The sequence below is a fragment of the Homo sapiens genome, chromosome 1 (assembly GCF_000001405.40).
Source record: "Homo sapiens chromosome 1, GRCh38.p14 Primary Assembly".
In the NCBI taxonomy this organism is placed as follows: domain Eukaryota; kingdom Metazoa; phylum Chordata; class Mammalia; order Primates; family Hominidae; genus Homo; species Homo sapiens.
In genome coordinates, this window is record NC_000001.11 from 248398054 (window position 1) to 248410401 (window position 12348).

Sequence of the window (12348 nt, forward strand, 5' to 3'; positions counted from 1 at the left end):
CCTGTCCTTTGCAGCAATATGGATAGAGCCAGAAGCCATCATCCCACGTGAATTACCACAGGAACAGAAAGCCAAATACTGGATGTTCCTACTCACAGATGGGAGCTAAACATTGAACACCTGGCCACAAAGATGGCAACCATTACATCCTAGAGGTGGGAGGAAGGGAGGGGGTAGGTGTTGAAAAACTGCTGGGTACCATGCTCACTACTTGAGTGATGGGATCATTTATAATCCAAACCTCAGCATCACACAATACACTCAGGCACATGTACGCCATGAATCTCAAATAAAGTGGAATGAATAAATAAATAAATAAAATGATTTTTTCAAAAGAAGTTAAATAAATGAATAGTAAAAATATAAAAGTTGGCCGAGTGCAGTGGTGCATGCCTGTAATTCCCACACTTTGGGAGGCCAAGGCATATGGATCACCTGAGGTCAGGAGCTCGAGGCCAGCCTGTCCAACATGGTGAAACCCCATCACTACTGAAAATACAAGATTAGCCAGGCGTGGTGGTGTATGCCTGTAGTCCCAGCTACTCGGGAGGCTGAGACAGGAAAATCACTTGAACCCTGGAGGTGGAGGCTGCAGTGAGCCAAGATCATGCCACTGCACTCCAGCCTGGGCAAGACAGAGTGAGACTCTTGTCTCAAAAAAAAAAAAAAAAAAAGTTGAAGTTAAAAAAATTAATTAACCTTTCTAGGAAAAACAACAGAAAACATTAAATCTAGTCCTTTTACATCAGAATTTCCAGATCTGTGTGTTTGTGTTTATTTATTTATAGATAGATGAAATGATTGATATATAGATGTGAATTGATAATATAAAAAATGATAATATTTTTGAGGTGCAACTTAACAAAATCAAAACTTTAAAAATATTCACACAAATGAATTAAATAATATTGACTGAGGAAAAGTCGATGAAGAAAACTTCCAAAATCTATACTCAAATTAGACATAAGGATTTAATCAGCACATTATTTTTTAGTCCCCTGAATTAAAACTGTATGTATGTTATAAAAATGGAGCATTAATTAAATAATATTGAGCATATCCATAAAGTATAGTACTTTGTGGATAGTGCATGCTACGTTTGGGAGAATATTTCACATCGGGGCACTTTTTATGTTGTATTTTGTGAACAATGCAAATTGTGGAATTACATGTTAACCCACAGACACTCATCACACACACATATATGTTGTTGTGTAAATGCCATATCTATTTATAGTGTTTAAGTTTCTGCATGTGTCTCTCTGTTGGTTCTCTACCTCTTGTTTAGTTACATAAAGCTCTTGTAGTTTACTGGTACATACACACACATACCCACGAACATACACACAAACAAACACATACAGTATAAATGCAATTTTGTAAGGATAATCATCTCTATGATGTGTTTTCGATAACCCTATCTGGTATTATGTTTTTCCCGATGGGTATGCGTTACCTTTATGCTCAAATAAAATAATAATTATTAAACTACCAACAAACATAACAGATGTTATGTTATTAAAATATAATAGAAATAAAGCTACTTTTTATCTTTTTAATGGCTTTCCACATTTGTTCCCACATTTCTCTGTGAGGAAGAGCTGCTGGCAGAACTTTCTGATGAAACACTCAGGAAATCAGTTTTACACTTTGAAGCACAGGAGTTGAAACATGTTCTCAAAGCCCATGTCACTTAAATGTTCACTGTTTTCCACCCCATCAATACACTTCTCATTAGCTGTAATAAGTCCGTCTCATTAAAGTCTCCTGAGATCCAAAAGGAAGAAACTTGCTCTTTCCCAGAGCACTTCATTCCATGTCCCTCAAAGAAAACTATTTAAACTCATGCCTCTTTTCAATCTGGGCGCTCCCTTGTCGCTCCAGGGATCTCAAAAGCAGAACACCCAGAATAATTCGGCACTCTTTACTGGTCTGCTGCTTTCTTCCTGCATTTTTAGTTTTTCAGACCTGTTTAGTTGCTAAATATTTCCCTGTAAAGATAAGAAATAGACATTATTACATGTTTCTAGAAGGCTGGAGAATTTATGCAATTTGTCCTGGCAATGCAAATTGTTTCAAGGATTTCTAAGGTGGCATTTATTTGTTTGGCTTAATAATACTTCCTTCTGCAGAGTTATATTACAAAAATAGCTCCTAATAAACTTGTTGCATGTCTCTCTTTGTCCTAACTCCATCATCAGTTGCTAAGGATACCTTCAGTCATGCCAAGTTCATAAATCCAAATTAGAAATCTATGCATACTGGATCTTCAGGGTAACATGCTGACAGCACTTTGGCATCCAGATGGCCTAGATGTTGAAGGATTTCCTGTTGTGGGTACCAATGACTATGAATTGCTTTGTGTGTTTTCTTCTTGGTATAAGTTAGATGAGAATTTAAGTCTACTAAATCTAATCATTTTTCCTTCTAGCAAAATATCACCTTCAACCTTCTAAAAAGTCTTAGTTCTTCATCGCTTGTTTAGTTACATAAAGTTGTTGTAGTTTGCCAGTAAGTTTTTGATTTACTAAATTATACATAACCTTCTCTATCTACTACTCTGAATGGCTATCCTGACAGATTCAGCTCTCTGTAAGTGACAGATAATCATCTTTTGTTGGAATACAGTTTGGAATAAAATTAGATATTTGGATAATTTTTATGAAAATTATGTATATTGTATTCCTTGATGTCTACTTAGTGATGTGTGTCACATGCTGTTTTGAGTGGGTGGCATTCAGATTGCATGGATGAGAGGAGATATGAGAAATGTGAGAACATATAGAACACATGAATACATTACTTTATGAAGCTCTTTGAAAATTAAATAATTGGATTTAATAGTTAAGGTTTTGTCTAAATGATGCAACATCCCTCAGTAAAATTAGGCAATTAAAATGGATCATCTAGGAGCTTCTGCTGTACTTAGACTCACTTTGTTTGTTCCACTCTTCCTATTCCCTTAATGAAAATCCAGGTCTTTTGGAATTATGCAGGAATTTCACAGGTAAGAAGTCAAATGCTGATGAGCACCTAGACTGACTCCTCCTCATAGTAGCACTTTAAATATTTGGTGCATATGCAAATGACCGGGTTGCCAGAACATTTCATTGTGGTCTGACTGAATTTACGTTCTTTATATGACATAAACAAGATTTACGTAAACTGGATCTAAGAAAGTTGAGGCAGAGTTGTCTGCAACTCCTGGGCTGGAAATCTCAGGCACAAGTATAATGAGGAATGACTGTCCCATTCCCTCCATGCCAAATGCAAGTGCATTGAGAAAAAGAGTGCCTGTCTGATTATCTGTGGGAATTACATGGAGTGAGTGTTGTAAATCTCAGGTAGAAGGATGCCATTGAGTGTAACAGTGCAAAGAATCTTTTCTTAAATGTTTGCTGCTTTTCTTAAAAAAATAATTTAAGCAAACTTTAGTCTTATGAATTAGATAGGATAAGGACAATACTGTTCGAAAGGCACAAAAGATCTAAAGGAAAAACCTGTACTTACTCCTAGTTTCTAAAGTACAGACTATGAACCAGGCTTCCTGAATCTCTGAACAGTGCATTGTCTTTATCTCCTTCCCCTCGTTTTACAGATAAGAACACTGATGATTGGAGAGTTGAAGATGCTTGCATTAAAGACACAGAGCTGACGTAAGGCAGACTCCTACAGGCATTCTAATTTCCAACATAGACTCGTTGCCTGACTGTCAAACGTGCAAGCATTTTAAAAATCCTTTTTTCCACAATGATTTCAAAGAATGTGCAGACACCTGGATTTCTCAGATCCACTTTGCCAGTGATTCACAGGCATTTTTTTAGTGTCCATCACACCAAGCATAAAATAAACTCTCATCAGAAATAACAGGTCTCTCTAGTAGAGGGGTTTATTCTAGTGTGTAGTCTCTTTATGGGTCTTGTAGGAGGTGTGTGTGGGTTGAAGAATGTGGTTCTAAGTTACTCTAAAATTGTCAGAGTACATTAGTGCTTTATTATCTAATAATTGTATGATTATTATTTCAATATGAGTTCATTCTTAATGATTCCAACTTTTTGAAATACTAAACAGAATTTAGGAACACGGAGAAAAACTAGGAACATATATTTTTGTATTTAGTCTCAAAATTGCACAGCACTGTATTGACCTGTCTTGAGAACTTCTCATGTGAAAAGGTAACTGTAAGTTTGAATGTGTATGTAATGACTCAATGTGTCTGCGATAACAACAGAAAAGTAATATTGCCAGTGTATTCTGTACAGGAAAAACCACACCTACAGTAATCTGTTGAAATTGAGGTATTATATTCTAAAATAGACATTGCAAAAGCTATCCCCAGTAAATACCTGGAAGTTGAGCACTTTGGAAAAAAATTCATACATGAATGCATAAAATAACTGGAGAAGTGTGACCGGTATAGAGAAGGAGGACAGAAAACCTTGTAGTCATATTCACATTATGAAATGTTGAATGTTGCAAAGAGAGAAAACTGGTTCCAAGCAGATTCAGAAGGCAAGGAAGAATCCTGCATGAAGCAGCTTTAATTTAAGCTAATGCAGAGCTTCCTAACAAGGCTGCTGCATTGAAGGAGCATGGAGCTTGCTCTTTTCTTTGGCAGAAACTTCACCAGTGGTCATAGGGAAGCAAGCAAAGGCTGCAACTTACAAGTTAGGAATTATCTTGTCACTTGATTTAAAGGATGGGCTTGGAGATCATCACAGTCCTGGGCAAGCATTGTGTCCTACCTTCAAACTGTAGTGATGTGGGAGGAAAATATTTGCGGCCATCCCTACTCAACCAACATGCACGCCTTATAAAATAGTACAGAATATTTACAAATGTCAGGATAACATAAATGCATTGATTTATCTCTTGGTGTACGGTATTATGCAATAAAAAATAGTTTAGGTAGGCCTAAAAGACAATTTTATCCAATAAAATTATGTCTATTTTATCCACTAACTTTTTAAAAATAATTTTCTCAAAATTTGCAGGCCAAGCATACTTCTGCTCTTCAAAGGCATTTAGATGTTCTGCAAGCTTAATTGAAATGCACAGTTTTTTCTGAGAATTTCTACTAAGTAACAATCCTTTCAAGTCAAAGGATACTTGGGGGAAAAGATAGACTTTAACTGCTGATGTAACTTCACTGGGAGCACCTGGGTTTACAGACCTTTTCTGAAGATCAGGAGGTATTTGCAATTTAAATTCATAGATTTTAGTTGAATATGTAGATTGCTTAAATGAGAGATTGAGAATTTGCACCCATTTACCAATAGTTTTGAAATAATTTGCAGATATCTTACATTTTACTTGGTATTGTATAAAATATTTGCACCTGTAACTATAAATTTCTTATTTGATTCTTAAAGTAACCCTGAATGTTTATTATATCAATTAATATAAGCAGATACTGAGGCTCAGGGTGTTTAGGAAGATAATCCAAGGTCACAGAATTAATTAATGTCGTGACCAGAGGAAGAACTCAATTCATTTAATTCTAAATTTTGTTTTACTGTATGTTGCCTTCATCATTTCAGAAACAAATGCCTATATAAAGTCACAGAATCATTCCAAACATTTTCTGATTATTTTTATGTGTACTAAACCATAGCAAAGCTGTATGATCTATGCCCAGGAGATATTCAACAAGTATAGTTACTTATTGTGCTCACTCTAGTGAGAGAGCAGATAATAAATTTAACAAAACATTTTACTTAAAATCATAATTTACTTTGAGGAGGGCTTGTTCTCTGATAAATTAGATCTTTTGTATGCAGATAGGAAAAGTAAGGCCACTTGGCTGCAAAATGGAGTAGACTTTAGAATTTCCCTTTGCATTGCTAGGTTTGCAGGGCTAGCTGGCCATAGAAAAAGCTAGAACCACAGAAGAGTTACATATATACATATATAAATCTATGGGAGGAAATTATGAATGTATATACTTATATATATATATATAATGGATAAAAGATCATCCTTTATATTCTTGAAGTTTGTTGTGGATTTTACTGTAACCTGAAATTGTATAAAACAGTCCCTCAGTTTTTCTTAATTGCCAGAGCTACGGAAAAATTCCAATTTCCAAAAATCATCGGTGAGTTATACCTCAATATGTATGTCCCTGTGCTATTACATATACGTGTGTGTGTGTGTGTATAAAATGGGAGTAAGGGTGAACAGACAGCAGAGACCACTGTTTGACTTTGTGAAGCAGCACATGATTTTCCCTCTGTTTCTGGTGTCTTATCGCATGATAAAAGTCAAACCGAAAATGTAGGAAGTGTGGAAGTAGCTGAAATACTGCTAATATTTAGGCTGCGACATAAACTGGAGAGGAGTTTCCCTTTAGAAATATATTTTTATAGGTTCCATTAATGAAACCTAAAAAAAGTAAAATGAGGGAGGTTGTAAGTAATGATGACATTGTACATAGTATCATAAAAATGTATAAAACCTGACACCAAATATTCTGAATTAGCAAAATATACATTATATATATATATAAAATATACATATGATGTATCTATGTGTACATTTTTATATATGTGTGTATATCTGTACACATAGTTTATATCCATAAAACAGCAATCCTGATTATAATAATTTATGTGATCTACTCTCAAGTATGACTAATTTTCATTAGTCACATTAGTTATTACATTGTTAACAATTTAGCAGGTTCACATGCTTGGTACATTTTATTTGCTAATTACAGTAAATGTCTAGCTGCTATTCCCATATAAAGCTTCCTATATACACAATGCCATGTGTATGAATATATAATGAATTGAGACTATCTAGTCCAAACACTCCTGGCACTAACAGACCCCGTGACCACCAACACGTTACCCTCAATGCTGTCATTGGTGAGAGGGGCTTTTATAGCTCCTCACTTCTTAGTTTTATTGTGAAGATCAGGGAGTCAATAGTTACAAAGTACTTCTTAGCATGACACTTTGCAAAATAAACTCCACGATGTCATCATCATTATTCTCAATAGCAACTTCTTTTTCTGGGCAATTGACTCAAATGCTAATATTTTTAGAATATTTAGAGGAGCACTAGACTAGTTTGATCAATTTTACTCCCAAATATGTTGGTAAAATGTCTTTCTTGGGACACTTTTAGCCTTAAACAATGTGAAAAATCATCCTTTACTTCCATGAAGTTTGTTGTGGATATTTGTTTCTTTATTGTAACCTGAAATTGTATAAAACACACTCAGTTTTTCTTAATTATGAAGAACTATGAAAAATTCTAATTTCCAAAAATAATCAGTGAATTATAGCTCAATGTTTACGTCCCTGTGGTATTTCCTCTGAATATTAATTGCTAATACTGATTTCTAATGGTCATGCTAATCATAATCCTAATGCTAATTCCTCATCATCTTAAAATTGAAAATAAATAAAATTCTACAACACTGAATGCCTCTTGTATTGAGAATAATTTTTATGTCTAAATTTGCAAGAGTAGTTTCCGTTGAGTTTCTGTTGCCCTTTTTATTTCATCCCTTATAATTTGTCTGGGACATGGATAAACTAACACCAAGTATACTCTCATGATGTAGACAGTGACTTGTGACCCAAATGGTAGATAACCCGTACTTGTAGCTAAATGGAAGACATGAGCTACTCACAGCCAGCACCAAAGATGTTTTGAAAGTAGTGGTGATGCCAACCATACAAAGACACATTAAATAATAATACAAATTTAAATGCATCTAAGGTAATACACACACGCATACACCGGACCATGGTATGCGTAACTGCTGTGTAGCATGGTATGCAACCTTAGGCATTGTTATGCACATCATCGTAATACAGTATCATCTGCTGACCTCATCTTCTCCAATGTATTTAAGCAATTATTGATTAATAATGACCAATTTTATTTAAAAACCTTCTGGAATAGAGTAAATGCTAGATATCAGTCTCAATGTGGCAAGAATACTATTTTTTAAATGTTTTCTTCCCACTTTTAAAAGTTTGCTGCCTAACAATTAATTCACATGTTGTTATTTTACTGCCCTGGGAATGCTATCATCTTATTTGGAAGATATTACCTTATATCGGCACAACTGTAGGATCAATGGAAGAGTACAACACATCCTCTACAGACTTCACTTTCATGGGGCTGTTCAACAGAAAGGAAACCTCAGGTCTTATTTTTGCCATCATCTCTATCATCTTCTTCACCGCACTGATGGCCAATGGGGTTATGATCTTCCTGATCCAAACAGATTTGCGCCTTCATACACCCATGTACTTCCTCCTCAGCCACCTTTCCTTAATTGACATGATGTATATTTCCACTATTGTGCCTAAGATGCTGGTTAATTACCTGCTGGATCAAAGGACCATTTCCTTTGTGGGGTGCACAGCTCAACACTTCCTCTACCTTACCCTTGTGGGAGCTGAATTCTTCCTGCTGGGCCTCATGGCCTATGACCGCTATGTGGCCATTTGCAACCCTCTGAGATACCCTGTCCTCATGAGCCGCCGGGTCTGTTGGATGATTATAGCAGGTTCCTGGTTTGGGGGCTCTTTGGATGGCTTCCTCCTAACCCCCATCACCATGAGCTTTCCCTTCTGCAATTCCCGGGAGATTAACCACTTCTTCTGTGAGGCACCAGCAGTCCTGAAGTTGGCATGTGCAGACACAGCCCTCTACGAGACAGTGATGTATGTGTGCTGTGTTTTGATGCTGCTGATTCCTTTCTCTGTAGTCCTTGCTTCCTATGCCCGAATCCTGACTACAGTTCAGTGCATGAGCTCAGTGGAGGGCAGGAAGAAGGCATTTGCCACTTGCTCATCCCACATGACTGTGGTGTCCTTGTTCTACGGGGCTGCCATGTACACCTACATGCTGCCACATTCTTACCACAAGCCAGCCCAGGACAAAGTCCTCTCTGTGTTTTACACCATTCTCACACCCATGCTGAACCCCCTCATCTACAGCCTTAGAAACAAGGATGTGACTGGAGCTCTGAAGAGGGCCTTGGGGAGGTTCAAGGGTCCTCAAAGGGTGTCAGGAGGTGTCTTTTGACAGTCGACTCCTTCCCATGCATATGGTAAATGGGGGACTCTGTGGTCACTGTGGCTGTGCTTTCATCAAAAGATGAAGCAAAAAGGGAGGGAGTCATATGATTACAATATTGGTTTTTTGGCTAGGGTTTCTGGTTCATAACTCCATAGTTATGATGTTGTGGTTTTTTAGGCCTCAGAAAACTGAATCTCTCTCTGTGATCTTCGCCTTCCCTCTTTTCACCTGCTTCTTTTTCTCCCCAAAGAAAGCCTTAGAAACTAAAAATATAATCCAATCTTTCCCCGCTTTTGGTCACAAAGAAATTATCTGACTACCTTGTCTGACTGTATGTCATAAGACCTCTGTTTCAAAAGAGGTCTTCTCTCATACCCTGGGGGAGGGAATGCTATACAGAGAGGCCAAGAAAAATCCGATCAGACAGGCCTTCGTGGGTGTCCCCACTCACTCTATCAACATTAGGTCATACTCTTTGTTCAATCATATTTCTGTGCAATTGTCCATGCTTCAATCATGACTATTCAATAAAGTCTCCATATAAGGGCCAAAAGGAGAGGACAGAAAACTTCTGGACAGCTAAACTCATGAAGCTGAACAGGAGGGTGATAAGAACCCATCCATGTGCCTGGAGGGTGGCATGTCCCAACTCCACAGAGGCAGAAGCTCTTATGCTCTTCCAGACCTCACCCTCTGTGTCTTTTCATCTGACTGTTTCTGTGTATCCTTTGTAATATCATTTATAACAAGTGGTAAACATAGGTAAGTGTTTCCTTGAATTCTGTGAGCCTTTATAGTAAACTAACTGAACCCAAGGAAGGGCCGTGGGATCCCCAATTTACAATCACTTGGTCAAAAGTACAGGACAACTTGGGGCTTTTAATTGGCACTGGAAATGGAAGGCAGTGTTATGGGACTGAGCCCTCACCCTGTGGGATCTGACACTATCTCCAGATAGATAGTGGCAGATGGTCATGGGAGTTTAGCTTGGGCTAGAGCATTTGACTGTAGATAGTGGCAGATGGTCACGGGAGTTTAGCTTGGGCTAGCGCATTTGACTGTAGATAGTGGCAGATGGTCACGGGAGTTTAGCTTGGGCTAGAGCATTTGACTGTAGATAGTGGCAGATGGTCACGGGAGTTTAGCTTGGGCTAGCGCATTTGACTGTAGATAGTGGCAGATGGTCACGGGAGTTTAGCTTGGGCTAGCGCATTTGACTGTAGATAGTGGCAGATGGTCACGGGAGTTTAGCTTGGGCTAGAGCATTTGACTGTAGATAGTGGCAGATGGTCACGGGAGTTTAGCTTGGGCTAGCGCATTTGACTGTAGATAGTGGCAGATGGTCACGGGAGTTTAGCTTGGGCTAGCGCATTTGACTGTAGATAGTGGCAGATGGTCACGGGAGTTTAGCTAGGGCTAGAGCATTTGACTGTAGATAGTGGCAGATGGTCACGGGAGTTTAGCTTGGGCTAGAGCATTTGACTGTAGATAGTGGCAGATGGTCACGGGAGTTTAGCTTGGGCTAGCGCATTTGACTGTAGATAGTGGCAGATGGTCACGGGAGTTTAGCTTGGGCTAGCGCATTTGACTGTAGATAGTGGCAGATGGTCACGGGAGTTTAGCTTGGGCTAGAGCATTTGACTGTAGATAGTGGCAGATGGTCACGGGAGTTTAGCTTGGGCTAGAGCATTTGACTGTAGATAGTGGCAGATGGTCACGGGAGTTTAGCTTGGGCTAGAGCATTTGACTGTAGATAGTGGCAGATGGTCACGGGAGTTTAGCTTGGGCTAGAGCATTTGACTGTAGATAGTGGCAGATGGTCACGGGAGTTTAGCTTGGGCTAGAGCATTTGACTGTAGATAGTGGCAGATGGTCACGGGAGTTTAGCTTGGACTAGCGCATTTGACTGTAGATAGTGGCCGATGGTCACGGGAGTTTAGCTTGGGCTAGCGCATTTGACTGTAGATAGTGGCAGATGGTCATAGGAGTTTAGCTTGGGCTAGCGCATTTGACTGTAGATAGTGGCCGAATGGAATTGATTTGGAGGACACCAAGTGGTGTCCACTGCAGAAATGATTGTTTACTTCGTGTGTATCAAAAATCCCCCACTCATTTGGTCCCATACATCTTATATGTTGGTTGTTGTGTGGTGTGGAAGCAGAGGAAAAACAGTTTCATGTGTTTTTTTCCTCAAAGAGCGTTCAACTTGGTGGGAAAAAAAAACTAATGTAAAAAAACGTCCTCTTGATCTCTTTTCCTTCTCTTTTCTTTTTTTCTTATACCTTCCGTTTCTCCTGCCATGTTCACATGTATTCTAAATAAATACAAGAGGGCTCCATAAACACAAAAATGTGTTTCCATCTGCAAGCTGGTAGAAAGAGTCATTGAACATAGTCTTCTTAAACAGGTATTGTACTCACTACAATCAGGTGCTTATTACTTTCAGTAAAAGTACGGTATTTATCTTTTTTTATTTTGCAACACATTAGTGAAAACTATTTGTCAGATAACTTAAAATAAATGGATGAAAGCAAAGGACATTGCCCAGAAAAGACATCATGAGAACACTGCATATCTGAGGGGTAACGGGGTTTCTAAAACACTGGAGAAACATACAGGGGGATGGGTTAGGAAGGCAGTAAAATGCTTTTCAAATATCTCATGAGATCATCAAGATTAAGCATATATCAGCCATGTAATAGTATTAGGGCATAGTTAATATTCATGTTCCATATGGATCCAGGAATTGAGGAAAGAAAGCATGTGCCGATACATGGTTAGTATCCCAATTATATAAAGAGTTCACTCATCATCAAAAGGGTGACTTTCTCAAAATTATAATTCACCATGTGGGGTTATCATTATACAAACATCATCATGGTCATAATCATAATCATATTCATCAATCTCTATCTAAAACTTAAAAATTTATGTGCCTTGCCAGGTTCATCATCCTTTAACAACTTCATAACAAAGGAAGCAGAACTTGTTATGAGTCATAGTTTACATGTAAGAACAGTAAGTTTCAGGGAAGCAAGAAAATTCTGTAGGATAATAATTCTAATTAATAGACTAGATGGCAGAATTTCAAGAAATGTGATTGATAGAACACTATATTCTTCAGATACAGCTTCCTCATTCATTCATTCATGCTTTATAGCTGTGACCAAGACAAACAAAGCAATTGCACTTGAGAAATTTGCATTCCAGTGTGGAAAAGACAATGAACAAAAATAAATACAACAAGTGAGCAAGCAAAAAAACACATATATCCACCATGTTGTGTGTGGTAGCTGTGACTAA

The 12348-nt window shown here is 37.9% G+C and overlaps 1 protein-coding gene across 1 annotated transcript, besides 1 other annotated feature; it reads left to right on the top strand.

Moving 5' to 3' along the window:
• Positions 2201-2401: a silencer, noted in NCBI's record as "peak838 fragment used in MPRA reporter construct". NCBI's record gives its function as "represses an SCP1 promoter by STARR-seq MPRAs in K562 erythroleukemia cells {active_cell/tissue: K562}" and the evidence as "EXISTENCE:reporter gene assay evidence [ECO:0000049][PMID:32103011]".
• Positions 4995-9967, top strand: OR2T1 (olfactory receptor family 2 subfamily T member 1). The gene is made up of 2 exons (NM_030904.2): positions 4995-5192; positions 8062-9967. The coding sequence occupies exon 2, from the start codon at positions 8095-8097 to the stop codon at positions 9049-9051; it is 957 nt and encodes a 318-aa protein (NP_112166.2). The 5' UTR covers positions 4995-5192; positions 8062-8094; the 3' UTR covers positions 9052-9967.

What these genes read in the sequence shown, in the direction of transcription:
- OR2T1 (NM_030904.2), top strand. Translation starts at nt 8,095, where the DNA reads ATGGAAGAGTACAACACATCCTCTACAGACTTCACTTTCATGGGGCTG.